This window comes from Homo sapiens, chromosome 12 (assembly GCF_000001405.40).
Source record: "Homo sapiens chromosome 12, GRCh38.p14 Primary Assembly".
NCBI classification, from domain to species: Eukaryota; Metazoa; Chordata; class Mammalia; order Primates; family Hominidae; genus Homo; species Homo sapiens.
The window spans coordinates 29297969-29317467 of NC_000012.12; the positions used below are offsets into that span (position 1 = coordinate 29297969).

Consider the following 19499-nt stretch of genomic DNA (forward strand, 5'->3'; position numbering starts at 1 on the left):
GAGGTTGCAATGAGCCGAGATTGTGCCGTTGCACTCCAGCCTGGGCAACAAGAGTGAAACTCCGTCTCAAAAAAAAAAAAAAAAAAAAGAACTAATGAAGAATAAGAATTGCTCCAAGATCTGGCAGAAGGTGACAGTCTCTTGACTTATTTGGCTGAGACACACTTTCTTTACTGTCCTAGGATGCAAGAGAAATAATGTCTAGGATTTTTCTCTTCTTGCCAATGAGCAGAAACCACTTTCATCTTAAAACACAGCTCAGGTCTTAGAATAAGTTTGTTTTCTGCTTCTTTATTCTTCTGCTCCATTTTACTAAGTTTACCTTGTTTTTTTTTTTTGTAAAAAACTATATAAAAAGTATTATAGCAGAAAAATGGACTATTTCACAATGAATTTGTCACATTATAATTTTATATAATACTGTATTTATATTTAATATATACTCTTTAAAAAGTTTTAGCTAAATCAAGAGTTCATTACCTTCAGGGCAAACATTTTTATCTCCTCCAGCTCTGAGAATAGATATTTTTGTCTGTCATGTAAAAATATCCAGGACAAAGAAGAATGAAAGTCATCTAAAGGATCTGGAGGTTAAAGTTGCTAATAAATGGAGGTTTGCTAAATTGGTACAGAGAAAAATTTTAGAGTGCAGAGTTCATCAGGATAGTGGGAGAAAAAGCAGGTGTATTCTGAGGCCCAAAGTCTAGACAATAAAGTATGTTTAAAGCCTCAGAGCATTTTCAGGATGGAATTGGTTTCTGTCAGTTACCCTCTTATGGTGTTGTCTCTTGGTAAATGTGATGTTTTCATATTTGATATGTCCAGGAGAGGGGCAGACCCCTTTTGATTCCAGATTGTTTCCTGGGACTTTCTCCACTGCTGATCTCTCTAACACCTGACAGGTCATAGTGCAATTTGAGGTAGCAAAAGAGCCTGAGAGTTCATCAGAGAAAAGAAGTAAGAGGCCAGGTGTGTTGGCTTATGCCTGTAATCCCAGCACTTTGGGAGGCCGAGGTGGGTGGATCACCCGAGGTCAGGAGTTCGAGACCAGCCTGACCAACATGGTGAAACCCTGTCTCTACTAAATACAAAAAATTAGCTAGGTGTGGTGGCACATGCCTGTAATCTCAGCTACTTGGGAGGCTGAGGCAGTAGAATTGCTTGAATCCAGGAGGTGGAGGTTGCAGTGAGCTGAGATTGCACCATTGCACCCCAGCCTGGTCAACAAGAGCAAAACTTTGTCTCAAAAAAAAAAAAAAAAAAAAAAGAAAGAAAAAGAAAAGAAAAGAAGTAAGAGTTCACCCATAGTGAAGGGCTTCTCTAGGTACTCCATACCACTTCCTCCCAAACTATATCCAGACACTAAATACCCCTAGGTTTCAAAGAAGAATAAACTCACCTCCCAGAGGAAGAGCTGATTTATCTTCAGGCATTCAGCACTTTCCATCCTCCCTCAAGTATATGTCAACCAGACAAGGCAGGTAATTGCTACATGATTTATGAACAAACTGTAACTGACATTTGTACAAAATTTTTAACCTCCATCTGTCATTTACTGCTCTCCAAGGATAACAATTATTTAAGCAACTAATTAGAACTAGGAATGAAATTATTTTATCTCAACAGATAAATTCTGGGTGCAATTAAGGAACTAAGTTTTTTTAAAAAACAGGGAAAAGTCATACTTATTATTTGCTAATTCAGAATTAATTAGGACATCCAGGACCACCTATCCAGCCTCATCTCTCTCAGTCCTCCCCTTACTTTCATGCTGCAGTCACAAAGAAGTAAGGCCTTCCCTCCTCATACTCTGCCTGCCTTTGCACTCGAAACTCTGTTTGTCCCTAGAGCTTAGTTCCCCTTCTGCTTCACCTGGTTAATTCTTACTCAGATATCAAGGCTCCCCAGCGAAGCTCTCTGGCTTAGGCACCCTTCCCAAGTGCTCCCATAGTACCCAGTGTTCAGCTGTATTATTGCTTGTAACACAGGTCATTCTGAATGTCTGGTTGCTTATCTACATTCTACATTAGACAATGAGCTTCTCAACAGAAGAGAATATTTCTTGCTCCTCTTTGCATCTCCAGCTAGGGACTCAATGCTCACTGAATGAATGAAAAGCTTTTGGTGGCATAGACGATTATTGTTCATACTGTTTTGACTGTTTTTGTTTGTTTGTTTTGACTGAAGCAAGAATAGATGACAGAATTCTGTAACAAGCTGATATTTTGGGATGCAGAAGTCTTATGTATAAAATATCTATCCATATCCCCACATCTTACCCTTGTTTCTGGTTGTTCATTTTTTTCTTCTTAAACTTTGAATGAAACCTGTATGTTAACTTTTGAATAGCACTTTAAATAAAACCCAGCAACCCCTCACCAACTATACCATGATCTACGACTATTTCAACGACTCCTATACCAGATGGAATTTTTGGAAGTTTTAGAATAACAACATTAAAAATCATTCTGAATAAATATCAATTCACCTAAATCCAGGTTTAGTTTCTTTGTTTTAGGAAAATACTTTGTTTCTTTGAGTAATTCTCTATTTAGTAATTGGTCTGTGTTAAAATGGAATTATTTTCCAAGGTTTTTAGGTTTCTATTTCCCCTGGGAGTTTTCCTTTCTTTCAGTGCAACAGAGAAATGCCTGGGGGAAAGTTGTTGTTGTTGTTGTTGTTGTTGTTGTTAACAGTAACTTCAAGGGGTCTAGTGGCTGCCATTGCTCTTAGTAATTCAGCAGTTCTTATTTATTTATTTATAAGGAACCAGGCGTTAGACAACAAGATGATCTTGAAGCTGTACTCTTGGCATTATATTCTCAAGAAAATCACCATGACGACGTAAAATGAAACTTTATTTTTCCAGAAAATCAGTTGAATGGGAATTCCAGTTCTGGGAAATAAAGAAGGATATGCATTTTTGGCCCGGACCTTTCCTGTTTGCTTGGGCAGCAGTGGTACTGCTCAGTGTTGTTAATAATGGGACTGTGAACTTGAACCCCATGCTTACATCCTGGTCCCAACCTTTGCAGGCCTAAAGTCTCTGCTCATTCAGCTCCCCCCATTTTCTATCCATCCTGTATGCTGAGACTGTCAGGCCTGAGCTCCCTTTCTTTAGCCCCTATCTAAAAACTTTTAGCATTACCTTGGCCCTGAAATATTCCAGAAAGATGAAGTTAGTACAAAAACTTTAGCACATTAGCAGAAATATATTTTAAAAATAACTTAAATCAGGAGTTAATGCTTTTAATGAGTATGACAAGCCTGGCCGTTAATCAGTGTTTAGCGACTCATTTTCCTGGCTCTTATATCTGTAGTTGTCTTCTGCCCCTCATCCCAGCCACCGGTTCCCATTCTGACTCAGCTCTACCTTCATATTGCCAGCTTCTGCCTAGTTGGTATATTTACCTTTGGAAATTTATGTGCATAAATGGATCAGGGATTGCCAGTGAAATTCCAGTTTTCCAGAATAACAGCTTATGTAGAATGTTTATTTTTTAAAATGCACATAACTGACCAAGAAAGGCAGGGTTTTATGGTTGGTGCTTTCCTTATTTTTTAGGTCAAGGTAACTCCTCTTAGGGAAAGCAGTGTAGAAGAAAAGGGCTTTTGTGCCTGTATAAAAACCTGAAATAACTGGAAGCAGGTACTAGAAAAATGGAATCACAAATATTTATTGCTCTATTGAGCATATGTAAATAAATCTGAATTAAGAAGGGAAGGGAGGACATGAATCATTATTGAGCAATTACTGTGAGGAAGACACTTCCACAGACATTTAATTCCATAACGTAATATTGTAAGGTTGATATTATTATCACTGCTATACTAATCACGGAGCAAAAAGCTCAAAATGGCTAAGTAACTCCTTGAAAGTCTCTCAGACACAATTTTTATCCATGGCCACTTGATTCTGAAGCCCATGGTCTTTCCAGTCTACTCACGTACTTGGCAGTGGTAGAGATTAAAAGGTGCTTTCTCGCTGCGTGCAGTGGCTCAAGCCTGTAATCCCAGCACTTTGGGAGGCTGGGTTGGGCGGATTACGAGGTCAGATCGAGACCATCCTGGCTAACGCGGTGAAACCCCGTCTCTACTAAAAATACAAAAAATTAGCCGGGCGTGGTGGTGGGCGCCTGTACTCCCAGCTACTCGGGAGGCTGAGGCAGGAGAATGGCGTGAACCCGGGAGGCAGAGCTTGAAGTGAGCCGAGAGATTGTGCCACTGCCCTCCAGCCTGGGCGACAGAGCGAGACTCCATCTCAAAGGAAAAAAAAAAAAAAAAAAAAAAAAAAGGTGCTTTCTTAAGATATAGACTATGTTCCAAAGAGCTCGTATCCAAGACAAATAGAACACGGCAGAATTATACACGTGTGGTGGTGGGGAAACAGGTCATATTAAGTCTGGTGGAGTGGAGGGAGGCATATGAGAAGACTTGGAAGAGTGGATAGAGTGTGGATAGGTGAGATGTGCACACGTGCCTGGCAGGGCAGCTGGAGCTGGGAAACCCAGGCGTGTTTGGGACACAGCCAGTAGTCCATCTTGGCAGCGCATGTGTTACGTGTAGGGAAGAAGTTAGAGATCAAGCTGGAGGGGAGGATGGGCCATACTGTGGAGATTTTGCATACCATGCAGAGGAATTGTATTTAATTCTCTATGCAGTAGAGATCCATTGAAGGAGGGCCATGTGTGCGCATGCATTTTTGTGTGTAATTTGGGGTTGTTTGCTCATTTGTTTTCATCATGGAAAAATACTGATGAAAGTGGGCTTCAGGAATATTAATATAGCCAGGGGCCGGGGGAGGCAGTGGATTAGCATAGGGAGTAGACGGAGGAAGCGAGACCCATTACCAGAGAGGAGTAGTATGGAAGACTAGAATGAGGGTGAGGCAACAGGTATAAAAAACATCTCCATGTTTTGGGAAAGAAAAAAACAATAGGACATGGCTACTGCTTTGCATATGGGGTTGCACCTATCAAATTAACTCCAGATTAGAACATGCATACTTGTCATGTTTTGCATTTCTAGTACCAGGGATTTAATTCTTTTAAAATTCAATTCTGTTGAAATTTTACTCCATGAAGCAATGCGTTTTTGAGAGCTAATCCTGATATATTCAAATCTCAATGACTTAAGTTTATGGAGTGGACTTCTTTTAAATTAGTGATTCCCTGATTTGCCCGACTGTTGGAATTTCCAGGGCATGTTGAAAATACAGATTATCAGACTCTTAACTCTGCAGATGTATTTAGTGATTCTAAAATGGTACCCAGGAATCTGGATTTTTCCCAGGGGCCCTGTGTAATTCATATTTATGAGCAGGCAAGTTTGGGAAAGACTACCTTAAGGAGGTTTTTCACTGAGCAGTCTTCATTTGAAATGAGGATCATTTATCTTCTTTATCTCTATGCTCCCTCTTTCTCCTGCTCTCCTTGCCTCCTGTTGTCTTTCAGTTCTTAGAAGCTTTAATGGAAAGTTCCTAGTAGATCTGTACCTACTAAAAACCATGCTTCTGAGGCTACACAGTCACCAGAAGACACAGCTAAGCTGCCATGTGAAAAAGGAAAGGTGGCGTGTGCACTGAGGGTGCAGGTGTGAGAGGCAGGGGAATGGAGGCCCCCACAGCCAGCAGCAGTGGCCCTTATCACAGTCCTCTGGGAGATATGAAAGGAGGTCAGATGTTAGAAAGTAGTCTTTTTTGCCTTCGTGCTATAGAACACATTGTTAACACTAAAAAAGCTGACCTCTTCTAGGGGAACGGTGAAAGCTGATTCTAGCACTTGTGCTTTTAATTTCAGGATGGCACAGCTTCAAAATGACATCTATGTAGCTAAGTAAAAATGAGAATTCTGTGTACTTTGATATTAGCAGGCTTTAAATTACAAACCAGAATAAGATTAAATTGTTTCTTAACCAAACTGAGTAATTTTCAAATGGCAGGCCATTGGCAGGGTATTCAGCATCTGGCTCATGTTTGAGCCTGGCTAGGTGCTCCGTAAAAGTCTTGAGGGAAATACAGAGGCCAATTCTCCATAAGCATTAGGCTCAGAAATACCCTGCTTCCCACTGGAAAGTTTAAGTTGACCTTGAAGCCACCTTCACCAAAACGAGGTTGGTCAACACTTTTCACCATTGCCACTGGACACTTTACTTCCAATTTTGCTTCCTGCTCTAAAAGATAACCCCTTCCTTCCTTTCCCACATTCTCCCTACAACCTCGTCTTCTTTTGAGTTCATCCACTTTCTCTCATCATTGTCCATCTCTGCTTCCCAAAACCTTACATAGTATAGAAATTGGCCAATCAAGATTATCATGTGGAAGAACATGCATTTACTGAATAAGGCAGCTGGCTCCTGGGGGCAGAAAGGTGATTAGACACAGTGATAAAAATCATAATCCCTGATCTTCTGGACTCACTGTCTGTCCAGTGGGGAGACAGACACATAAGCAAATACAACTTGATAACTACAACAATCAAGAGAATGACATAATCTACCCTGGAGAAAGAGAGAGCAAACATTATCATAAGACAGTGTGTCCACTACTTACTCTCTAACAGATTTCCTGATAAACTACTAGGCTTGCCCACTTGTTGCATAAGAAAATTGAGGGTATCAGGGGAGGGGAAATACATATGCCTCTTGGTAATTCATTCAGTAAATACATAAATAAACCATTAATGATATAATCATGTTGATTCAATAAGTTTGAAACCAAAATTGATAATATTTAGAAGAAATTGTGTATGTGTGTATATGTGAACACACATAGACATATACATACTGCTTTCTGAAATTTTCAATGACTTTATGCTTCTTCTGAAGCAATTCAAGTTTAGAATTTGAGACCCATGGGTTCAAAACATCTTCTTGAGTATACTGGAGGACATTTAGATTAATTTCAGACATGTATTTTGGTTTATATGTGTTTTTTATCTATGCTAACTTATTTACTGTTTTAAAAACAAATTGAGAACAAACAGCAGCAGCAACCCTGAATTGAGTGTTTAAGTCCTAAGAATGGCTTGGCCCAACCAGTGGATGTGCATGTTTATTACACTAATCTCCTCTGAACCTAGGAAGTGGCTGGATGAGCTTCAGATGGTCTGTTTGGCTGTATTATAAGTGATATTTTATTTTTATTTGTTTTATTTGTTTATTTTTATTTTTATTTATTTTATTTTTTTGAGACAGGGTCTCTGTCACCCAAGCTGGAGTATGGTGGCACAATTATGGCTCATTGGAGCCTCCAACTCCCAAGCTCAAGCAATCCTCCTGCCTCAGCCTCCTGAGTAGCTGGAACTGCAGGTGCACACCACCATGCCCCATTAATTTTTTTACATTTTTTTTGTAGAGGCAGGGTGTTATTATGTTGCCCAGGCTGGTCTCAAACTCCTGGACTCAAACGATCCTCCTTCCTCAGCCTCCCAAAGTGCTGAGATTACAGGTTTGAGTCACCGCACTTGGCCAGAAATGACACTTTAAAACTAACTATTACCTACAAAGATGCATGCTCACTGGTTGTTTTATTAAAAAATAACAATGCCTTAGGTTTATTGGCTCATTTTGTTTTATCAAAGAGCTTAAATGCAGTTGTGAATATTCCTGTTTACCCTTATGATAATTTAGAATGAGTATAATTATTGCCATTTTCACAAGTACAATTGGAACTAGGTAATTTATATTCCTGTTTACTCTTATGAGAATTTAGAATCAGTATAATTATTGCCATTTTCACAAGTACAATTGGAATGAAAAGATAAAACAGTGGAATACAGGTGTAGCTGAGAGTAGCAGAGGCAAGTCATCTATAGAATATTAAAATTTCTTGCATGCGTGCTGTCAGAAATCTACGAAACCAAAATTTTCTAAGACAAGCAAACTCACCAAGCTTTATAAGGCCCCTATCCCCCCAAATATTATCCTTTCCATGTACCCCAACATTAATGACAGCAACTGGTACTAGCCATGTGACATACAATCCCTGCACATTATTGGGCTCTGATGTTTCCTAGGTTTTTTTTTTTTTACAGCTTTATTGAAATTAAGCTTTATTCCCTCAAGACCTGGTTTTCATAAACTATATATTTTTGCAGGTGAGAGAAAATGGTCTCAGGTCAGTCAATCCACTGTTGACCCACCAAATGAAATGAGATAGTGGTAGGACTGTTAAGATGGAGAGGTGTCTGCATCATCCTATATTCTTTCCCAGCCCCCAGGTGACCATATAATTAAAATATCCTAGATATTTCTATGTAGTTGAAGTTGTTTTTAATTCTAGAACCCCTCAATCTTTCTCTATTCAATTCAAATAAAAAGACATTTGAGTATCCAGAACACACTCAGCACTAATAGAAGCAAAGCAAGAAAAGTGGAAACATTATAGTCGATGCCCATGTTCTACCTCAGGATCAAATGAGGCATTAAAATTGAAAGTTGTGATTCTGAATAAGTCTTAACATCATGCACATCTTAGCTGCTCAAAAATTTGTCATGTCAGCAAAGTGGTAACAGTGAAGATTTTCTACAATCAAAATAGTATAGTTCTGTTCTGTTCTATAAAATAGAAATAAATATACCACATTGATTAGAAAAATCACACTAGCATATTTCGGCAGCTTAATTTTTAAAAAGCTATGTTATATCAATGATTTAACCACATAGATCTGTCAGCTAGAAGAATGTTAAATATATAATTGACAATACTTTTGTTGCTTTCTTAGAGAGGTGTAGATAGACTTTGGGGTTATCAAGTGGTTCTGACATATTTTTAAGAAAGATTAGGCTGATGCTATGGTAACTTGGTTATTCATGATACATTATCTTGTAAGTAGGAGTAGTCAATAATCGTGATTTTGAAGCTATTTCAGAGCACTATAATCACCCCACTTGACAGACTTCAGAATTCACTGGAAATCTCTGGAGATAATTTTCAAGTTATTAGCATAGACTCTAAACAGACCTTCAAAATGCATTACATAGGTTTGCTAAAACAGACTGTAAGTGCCAAAAGTAGTCACTTTGATTTGATTTGCATTGAGTGGAATTTTTAAAATTTAAAGCTAAAGGCTTCAGGATTACTGCACTGGATTTTTATCGGACAACACTGAGTAGGGCTGCCACTGAAGCACCTTGGATGACAGCCTCTAACTCCCTGAACACAGCATGCAGCACACTACTGGGAGAATGACTGGGACTCAAATATGTGTTCAATGAGTGTACTTATGAGCTTGCTAGAGAGGAAGTAAAGTAATAATAATCTCTAATATAGTACTAAAGTTCTAATTTAGTACTACTACAATAAAGTAGTAATCAGTACTGATAAAGTAGCAGTAGTGCTAAAGTAATACTAATAAAGTAGTACTAATAGTCCTATGCTATCATTCGTAATAAAGTAGTATTGCTATTGATTCTATCGGTCTATCTACCTACCTGCCTGCCTACCTACCTACCTACCTACCTATCTGTTTGGATGGGAGGGCATAGGATAAGATTGGGCTTAGCAGTGAAGAGCAAAAAGCTCATGCATGCTTTGAGCAGGTACACACTCAAACTTGGTATCATGTGACTGTTCTGAATTCCAGAACCGAGGCTAAAAGGTGGAAGTTTTGTTTGATTGTGTCTCACATTTTCCTTTTGGTTTATTGTCTAACATATGTTACTAGAATTCTCTTTACTCTACCTTTTAGGTGGTTAGACGATGCTATTATTGACGAGATTACACCCAAGCTGATCAGAGATTGGCCCAATATTTATACCTACACCAAGGCCTTGGGAGAAATGGTGGTGCAGCAAGAGAGCAGGAACCTGAACATTGCCATCATAAGGCCCTCCATTGTGGGAGCAACTTGGCAGGAGCCTTTCCCAGTAAGCCCACTTACCTGGATTCTGTGTTTTGCTTCCAAACTAAGGTTCTTCTAGTCCAATTACTTTCTGATGTCTTTCTTCTTCTCCTCCTCAGGATTTATAGCTAAGTGCAGCCAATCGAATATGAACCCATTATACTAGGGCAAAATTCCACTTTGGGTTCAGGATTTACCCAGCATGTGGCTCCTCTGGCAGTTATCTTGACTGCCCTAGAGTTGGACGGAGAGCTTAAATTAGCTTCTAACTACTCTAGTCTCAAAATTCACATGGGTGATGGTTTCATATCTTGGCTTTCCTACTATAGTTTAAGCATACCAGAATGTCCTTGATGGCCAAATTGGTAGTATTACAACTGCCAGGGTAAACAAGAGTTTCAAAGCTCACAGAAGGATCTCAGTTTAGGAATACTAATTTTTTTTAAACCTCAGTATACTGTCATGACCTTTTGAAAGTACTTTGAATTATACCATCTTCTTGAAAGCAAGTCTGTGAAGCTTTGGGGTAGATAAATTCCAGCTCCACTACTTACTGGTAATGCAACATTTTTGAGTTGTCCCTTCCATAAAACAGGACAGATACTATGGAGAGTTGATTTGATGAGACAATGTATGAGGAGTGGTCCCTACTAAAAGGCTCAACAAATATTAATCCCTTCATCTTCTCCTCTCTTCTCTCTCCTCTCCTGTTATACTCACACATTTGACTTTTATACTGTAACGTAAAGAGACATAATAAGGTCAGCTGAATGGCTTAGGTCTTAAGAAACAAACTTAAAAACACATTTCCCTCTAGCTGCTCTTAAATATAATCTCTGTAACATCTTTAAGTAAGTCAATATACACACAGACACACAGACACACACACACACACACACACACACACACATATATATATATATGTATATATATCTGGCATGGACTCTATAGCTGGTAAAAAATGTTAAGAAATGGGCCATTAACACAAATCATGTTTTCAATGTTCTCCTAAGGAGGCTGAAATCAGGACTAAGGTGGAGAAGTATGGTTGGTGAATTGCTTAGCAGATCATGATATAAGGACAAGGTCCAATTTAGTCCATAAGAGGTCATAAAACACCACAAAACCATTCATGATTCCTGCTAAGAAAAACAATCCTGGCAAAATTCTAATTTTTGCACAGTCAAATAAAGTACAGAAAATGGCCAATGCTTTGCCATTATCTTTTGAGATCTTAATAATACTGAATTAGATAGTTCTATTGGCTGGGATCTCAGTGCTCTTGTTTGAAATTTATTAAGATTAGACTGCAGATGTTCCAAAGATAAAACAATTTTCTGAAATGTGTAACCAATAGAAATCTTCTTTCTTTTAGGGTTGGGTTGATAATATAAATGGACCTAATGGAATCATTATTGCGGTATGTATAATGATGAAGAAATAACTCCCTGAAATGTAGTAGAGAAATAGTAACAAAATTCTTAGTGCTGGCTTAGCTTCATTGATCCAAAAACATAAATGTTACTTTACTAATAACTGAGGCATATTATTTTAATTGTTCTGATTGTAATATACAGGCAGGATGAAATTATTCTTTGAGAATTTTTTATCAGAAAAACAGAGGTAATGTGCTATCAGTTACTATTTAGGAGTTTTATTTTTGAAGTCTTTGAGCATCAAGGACTTTTCTTTAGTTACCACAAGATGGGGGTATTTCCTCCTTTTTGCAGTTTATAATCTCATGAATTAGTGCAGTGAATTGAGGATGCAGTAAAAATATCTTCAAAGATTATTAAATTCTTGATTATAAAACACATGTAAGAGTTTATGTGCGTGTGTAGAAAAGAGATATACATCAATAATTTTTAATGAATACAAGAAAGAGAACTACCAATTGGAGCAAATTTTTCAAATACAAAAATCCATGAATATAGGCAACATCTTTTCAATAATATCTTACCAGGAGAAACGTGGCTCCTCTAGGTAAGCAGCCCTTAGTGCGCATCTGCCCGAAGTCCAGATTGATCCAGCCAAGCTGTGGGGCTTCACAGCTCACACTGAAGCATTTAGGGTCTAAACCCCACTTCATTCTTCTGTACAATGAATAGGAAATCAGTGATCTAAATGAGTTTAAATTTTATTAGGGATTTAGACTGCGATTCAGACTCTGACTCTGTTCCTCCCAGAACTAGGTTCAACATGAATTGCAATACAGATATGAGACAGTGAATTATAACAGTGACAAAGATCTTCCTTCCGATTTCTGATTTTTCTAGCAGCCCCTTTCTTTCTGCTTCCCACCTGCCTTCAACTCTTTCTTCTACAAAAGTTCAGTTGGGGTGAACGTTTAGTGACTTAGAACATCATTATTTTAACGTGATCCCAAAACGGCTTTCATTACATGCAAAGCTACATATTTATTTACATTTTCTAAAATGTTCTAAATTGGTTTCTTATGTCCAAAAGAAGGGGAGCTAGTTATAAGAAAACAGAACTGAGTAACATAAGAAAGTGCTAATCGTTGCAAATCAATGTTGGAAACATGCAAAGCACAAAGAATCAATTTCATAAACTCAACCAATTATTAACATGAATAATTCCTAATTCTTGCATCTATATAACATCAGTGATCTGTGAGGTGAACTAAGATACTGAATAAAAAGTAAATAATAAGGCAATTTTTCCAAGCCAAAAAAAAAGTTTTCTTTTATTAATGGTGGAATTTCACCAATTAATGTTTTTCAAATAAGTATTTCTTAAACTTTTAGTGCCTACTATTGCTTGTAAGTTAATAAACCCTAGCAGAAAACAAAATCATCAAGGAAATGGTAAACAAATATTAATGGGAAAATTAATGGGAAATTTGTATAACCTTAATTCTTAACATGTCTTATGAATTAATTTTTAAGATGTAAAAGTTTATTCTTGGTGTTTGTTAATTGAGTTTATTAACCTCTCACAAATTTGAGGAATTTTATTCCCTAAAGGAACGTGAGGAACACTAGTAGTTCATGAAAATGCTGGAGACGCATGCACTTGGCTGGGAAGGTAGGATAGGCTGAGGAAGTCAGACTTAGCATAAGAACCTGGTAAGCAGTGGATCAATGTTAGCTGTTTTCACTTATTGCACTAGTATAACCAGTTTGATGATACATACTTTAGCCCCAGCTATTATTTAAGACCTGGTTTAATATTTTATGTTCTTTTTCCTATGCAGACTGGGAAAGGGTTTCTTCGGGCCATAAAAGCTACTCCAATGGCTGTGGCAGACGTAATTCCAGTTGATACAGTCGTCAATCTCATGCTAGCTGTAGGATGGTATACTGCAGTTCACAGGTGTGGATGCTCAAGTGGGCTTTCAAAGACTTCATGAGGGGCAGAGTGAATATATTAGGCCCATTTTCCAAATATAGGCATTTCATTGTACAAGACCCCAAATGTGTGAAAGTGCGTATTTCAATATTTTATAGAGTTCCTAATATGCCATCATATATGCATTGAGTTGTTTTATAAATACAGTTTAGTACTTGGCTACTCATAAAGTAATAAAACCTTTAAATCACTTAACCATAAAATTCTTGATAACCAAAAGGCTTTTCTTTCTATTCAGTAGTCTAAAATTCAGCTTTCTCTTTTAGGGCAAAGGAGATAGAAGCTGATGAAATGACAGAATTTTTTTTTAATTGAACTCTGGTAAATGCCAAAAGTTCAGTCACGATGTGTGGGGAAGCTTCCTGGTACAAAGGAAAAAAAATAGGTTGTTCATATATTTGGGTCTGTTAGTAAATTAAATTTTTCTTATGTGAACTCACATATATGTACTCCATAATATGTCACTCCTATTTAACATCTCTTTCACACACACACACACACACACACACACATGCTTTTCCTAGTCTTCTTCCATTTTGCTTATTAACCCAGAGAAAGAATGAACGATGGAAGCCTTTCATAGGTTGCCTTAATCAGATGAATTACTGAAACCACTCTGTCTAAATATTATTTTTCCTTATTTTTCTCTCATTAGTTTTCTATTTTGTTGTACTTATCTAATTTTTATTTCATTTTCCAGACCTAAGTCAACATTAGTCTACCACATTACATCTGGTAACATGAATCCCTGCAATTGGCACAAAATGGGTAAGTACTTTAGCTATGTAACTCTATAATTACTAGTGTCTGGCACAGAGAAAAAGTTGACAAAGTGTGTCATGGAGCTTAGAGCTTATATGGGGAGAAAGACAAAAAGTAAGTAAAGAGACAAAATAATGAGAAATTGTAAATGTGTGATAGTTAACTAGAATGTACTGTGGTTACCAAAGAAAGGAGTCAGTGGCAACATGTACAAGATTGTAAGCAGTAAGGGGTCCATTGGCTATAGCGATTTTAAAAATGATGAAACAAAGCAAAAGTTGGCAGTTATAAAGAATGTCAGTGATAAAATACTGAAATACTCCTCCCTGTTGGAGCAATGGCTCCTACACACACCCCTTCCCTTCTTGATATGTCACTGAGAATGCGACATCATCAATGACCAATGAGATAGAAAAGTTAGGTGATATTAATCCTTTGTTATTGAGTCCATCATACTGATCATTAATTTATGCAGCTTGCCTCTCAGGTGTGCAATAACCACTCCACTAGCGATTTGTAAAAGTGAATAGGAAGCACTATGGGAGAAATAAAAACAACACCCAGATTCCTTGAACCCTGGGACCAAGGTCTTGGGTGGTGCTGAGGAAACTATATGTTTAATAAGCATCTAGATGATTCTTGATGCTTGGTGAAACAGAGAAACCCTGTACTATACAAATGATTGATCTGTCTGAATGTAAAGGATTGGATCTGTTCAATGTATAAAACCATGGAAATAGAGTTGAGTACAACTTAAACATCTAATGATGGTAGAAAGTTAAAGTAGGGAGTTTGGCTATTCTGTAGGATTTCTTACTACCTACTAATGCACACTTTCTTTCCCTGTTACATAGGTAACACTACCTCTACACATTCCAGTGGTAAGCCATGGTGCCACACTGAGAGTTCTATTGCAGGGCAGCTAGACACTGTGGCTCATTTTATAATAGGCTTTGAATTGAAAAATGCTTTTCCAAGAATGGAAAATACCTGGCATGCAGGTATTTTTCTCTCCTCCTCTTACACCTATAGCAAACATTGTTGGCTGATACAACATTGTTTCTTCCTGTGCCAAGGCTCTGTTCTAGATTCCCATCTAATATAGCATTTCTGGAAGATATTACTAATTAATCTGATGTTGCATTCAAATTAAATTAGTTTGTGTTTCCTACCAGGGTTAAGAGGGATCAAAATGCTTCCTACTAGGAGCAGTAGCCATGCCATAGGAGGTTGAACATACATAGCCTCAGGTGACATTACAAGGAGTGACAGACAGCTGGGTCGGTGAACATGGGATATCAGAATCTCTTATGCTATCAACCTGTGCATAACTTTTGGTTATGCACAGAACCAAATGTTTTAATAATGCCACATATGTTTTAATAAATGCCTATGAACCGGTGATTCTTGAGACTCTTCAAATTTTAAACTATCCTGCCATTTTTAGGATAAACCCAAGTTGGTCATAGCATATTATCTTTTTTATATTCTGTTTAATTCAGTTTGCTAATATTTCCCTTGTTGTTTTCTATTGTCTGAAAGTGTTTGTGTAATATTGGAGCAATCTATTCCTTGGAAACTTGGTAAAATTACCTATAAATTATCTGGATTTGTAATTTTGTTGTGAAAGGATTCTGTATTGCTTCAATAGTTAAAGAATTTTGCAGGCTTTCAGTTTCTACTGGAATCAGTTTTAGTAAATTATATTTGTCTCTTTTTCTAATAATTTGTTTTAAAATGTATTCACATAAAATTTTTCACATTACATCAATTTTTTTGTCCTAAACTGTATTTATAATTATGTTTCTCTTTTAATTCATAATAGTTGTGTGTCTTCTCCAAAGGGTTTATTATTTTTTTCAAAGAACCAACTTCTGGCTTTATTGATTCTTTATTATGTTGCTTCATTTTCTACTGCATTGATATATTGCCTTATCTCTATTTTCTCCTTCCTCCTGTTTTCTTTGATTATTTCTTTCTTCTCTTTAACTTAGAAATATAGCTCACGAATATTCGGCTTTTCTAATACATGCATTTATGGCTTTATATTTCGCTCAAATGCCACTTTGGCTGTATCCCACACATTTAGTTGTATGATGTTTATGTTATTACTCTCTAAGCATTAAGCATTTTTCATTTAAATTCTTCTTTGACCTATGAGGATGTAGAAGTGCAGTTTTCAATTGCCAAATTAAACTTTCTACATGTGCATGAATTTCTACTTGTCCTTCAGATCAGAAAGACAGTAGCTTAATGGTTAAAAGTCTTGGGCTTTAAGATCTAATAGACTTGGATTCAAATCTTAGCTCATTCATTCACTCCTGTATTCATTAAATAGGCATTATTCTTGGGCTATGGATACATCACTAAACAGAAATCCATGCCCACACAGATGTTATATGCTGGTATGGGTCCTACCATTTAGTAGACTCCACTACTTACTAGTTGTATCAACTTGAAAAAGTCACTCAGTTTCTCCCTGTAGATCTTTTTTTTTTTTTTTATCTGTCAATGAGAATAATAATTATTCTATTCCAGGGAGCTCTTGGGAGGATTTAATGAGATAAAGTGCTTAGCACAGTGATTAGAACGGTGAACATTTCAGTAAACGCTTGCTATTACCATTTGGACAGCTTTCTCAGAAAGCCTTTCCTAACCCAGCCTCACCCCTCCCCTTCCTGGCACCCAGACAGAGCTAGAGGCTTCTTTTGTCTTCCTCCAGAGCAGAATACTCTGCACTGATCTCTAGCAGAATACTCAGGCAAAATATTGCAATCATAAACTGTCCACACCTCCCACCAAATTGCCAATTCCTTAAAGACAGGGAATATATCATATATATTATTATTATTTTTTTACCTCAGCACCTACCACAATGCCTAGCAAGTGTTAAATGCTAAATAAATGTATTTGTAATGACTAAAAGAAGGATTGGTATGGATTTAGGAAATGGAAAGTAATTGTATGTTGCTGAGCTATTTATTCATTCATTTACTCAAAAAATATTTATTGGGCACTGATTACCTGCCAGCCACTTTCAAGGTACTATATAGGTTGAAACAAAACAGACAAAATTTTGTTATGGTACTTAAATCTTAAAAAGGAGAAATATACATCAGATATGGTTGAGAGACTGCAAAAAAATAAAACAGACTAAAGAAGTAAATAGTGATGTGGGAAGGCTGCTATTTTATATGTGATGGCCAAGGAAAGTCTCCCTGATAAGGTGTCATCTTAGCAGAGACCTGAAAGAAGTGAGGGGGCAAATCAGAGGGACATGTGGAGGAGATATTCCAAGTTGAAGAAACAATAAGTGCTACAGCTCTTTAATCATATTCAAGGACAGCAAGGAGGCCAGTATGGCTGCAGCAGAAGCACTGAGGGGGAGGATGGTAGGAGATAAAGTCAGAGTGGTGGGCAGAGAGAGTGAGGATGCAGAGTGTGCAAAGCCTTCCAGACCATGGCTTTGCCTCCAAATGAGATGAGATTCCACTGAAGGGCTCTGAATGGAGAAGTATCTGTAATATATTCTGAGTTACATTTTACAAGAATCACTCCGGCTGCCACATGGAGGTCAGACTGTAGGAGTACAAGGGTAGTGGCAGAGACCATTTAGGACAGTACTGCAACACTCCAGGCTACAGTAGTGGTTTGGATCAGAGACACAGAAGGTGGAAATTATGATTCTGGGTATTTTTCAAACAGAAGGCTGATAGATTTTGTTGAATTGTGTGTGGGTTGTTAAAGAGAAGAATCAAGGATGACCCCAAAGTTTTTGGCTGAACTACTAAAAAAACTGAATTACCATTTGGTTAGAGGTAGAAGATTAGTGAAGAAGCAAGTTTGTGTATGCATTGGGAAGGGGGTGGTTGGTAGTGGGAGTATCAGGAGGCCAATTTTAGAGCTGTTAAATGTGAATGTCTATTACACATCCAGATGGAAATGTTGAACAGGTATATGGATATATACATCAGAATGTCAGTGTTGAGATCAGAATCTCTTACGCTATCAGAACCAAATGTTTTAATAATGCCACAAATGTTTCAATAAATGCCTATGAACCAGGTGATTCTTGAGACTCTTCTTTGTATAGGATTTATATTTTCAGACAGATTTTAGCTGGTATTTTTTTAAGGAGGGCAATAATCATATTACCATAATAAGTGATATCATCATAATTGAATAATGAGCTTAGGCATATGCTTTGAAAAAAAACCTACATACATTAAATAAAATTGAATTCAAATGAATATCTTTTGGAAACAACTACTGAATTCACAAATGTACATAAAAAGTTCTTAAGCTTAATCTAAGTAATAATATAAAAAGAAAAATACTATTATGAATAAAACTCTGGATACCAGAGTGGACAATTGAGTCTAACATATTCCCAGAGAAGTATTTGAAGTAGACTAACACAAAGAAATCTTGCCTTGAGAATCTTTACAATCTTTTACTTAAACCTTTAATAAAGATTCAAATAAAATGTTAAGAAACTTTCTAAATGGTTCTGAAAGTAATGGTCCAGCCAGGGAAATAAGGTCTCTCGCCTCTGTCTTGGGGCTTTCAGAATAGACTGGATGACCTTAGAATTAAAGGCAGATTCATGTTTTTCTGAACAGTACCTCCTTGTATTGACAAGTGTTTCCCCAATAGTTTGTTTTACAGTAAATGCTTCAACTAAAGAATCCAATTATTAACCCATTCACACTGTTTCAGTTTGCAGATAACCATTTGCCCAGCACAAAAATCTTTATATTGTTCTCAGAAATTGATTCTTGACTCTACACAGCAAATCCTTCGTCTTTATTGTTTTGACCCATTACAAATGCTTTCCACTATGATGGACTTATATTCTCCTTTTCTCCTCTAGCACTTACTTTCTTTTTTCCCCAGGAGTCCAAGTCTTGGCAACCTTTGAAAAAATCCCATTTGAGAGACCTTTCAGGAGGCCAAATGCTAATTTTACCAGCAACAGCTTCACATCACAGTACTGGAATGCGGTCAGCCACCGGGCCCCTGCCATTATCTATGACTGCTATCTGCGGCTCACTGGAAGGAAGCCCAGGTGAGAAGCTGAGTCAATGGCTTTGAGAGTGTCACTGCATGGGAGATTAAGGCCCCAAAATCTTTAGTGCTTCCTTCAGCCGAGGATTAAAGGAGACAACTGAATCTTACCCATATATACAGATTGAACACACCTAATCTGAAAATCCAAAATCTGAAATTCTCCAAAATCCAAAACGTTTTGAGTGCTGACATGATGCCACAAGTGGAAAATTCCACATACCTTACCTCATGTGATGGGTCACAGTCAAAAGACATTCAAAACTGTTTCATACATAAAATTATTTAAAATATTATGTAAGATTACCTTCAGGCTCTGTGTATATGGCTAAGTGTGTATGAAACAGAAATGAATTTTGTGTTTAGACATGGGTCCCATCCCCAAGATAGCTCATTACATATATGCAAATATTCCAAAATCTGAAAACAATCAAAACCCAAAACACTTCTGGCCCA

At 37.3% G+C, this 19499-nt stretch overlaps 1 protein-coding gene and 1 long non-coding RNA gene across 6 annotated transcripts in view; one reads left to right on the plus strand and one right to left on the minus strand.

The window, feature by feature from the left end:
• The window catches only part of FAR2 (fatty acyl-CoA reductase 2), a 186339-nt gene that overhangs the window by 148691 nt on the left and 18149 nt on the right, over positions 1-19499 (plus strand). For all 5 annotated transcript variants that reach the window (NM_001271783.2, XM_011520748.4, XM_011520747.3 and 2 more), the window contains 5 exons: positions 9690-9867; positions 11218-11262; positions 13060-13178; positions 13915-13982; positions 18873-19044. In NM_001271783.2, coding sequence (NP_001258712.1) covers positions 9690-9867; positions 11218-11262; positions 13060-13178; positions 13915-13982; positions 18873-19044 — 582 coding nt within the window. The remainder of the gene's footprint in view (positions 1-9689; positions 9868-11217; positions 11263-13059; positions 13179-13914; positions 13983-18872; positions 19045-19499) is intronic.
• The window catches only part of FAR2-AS1 (FAR2 antisense RNA 1), a 37434-nt gene that overhangs the window by 17554 nt on the left and 381 nt on the right, over positions 1-19499 (minus strand). Inside the window, exons 2-3 of the long non-coding RNA NR_103860.1 lie at positions 11803-11935; positions 9882-10076 (exon numbers count right to left, since the gene is read on the minus strand). This is a non-coding gene — a long non-coding RNA (FAR2 antisense RNA 1). The remainder of the gene's footprint in view (positions 1-9881; positions 10077-11802; positions 11936-19499) is intronic.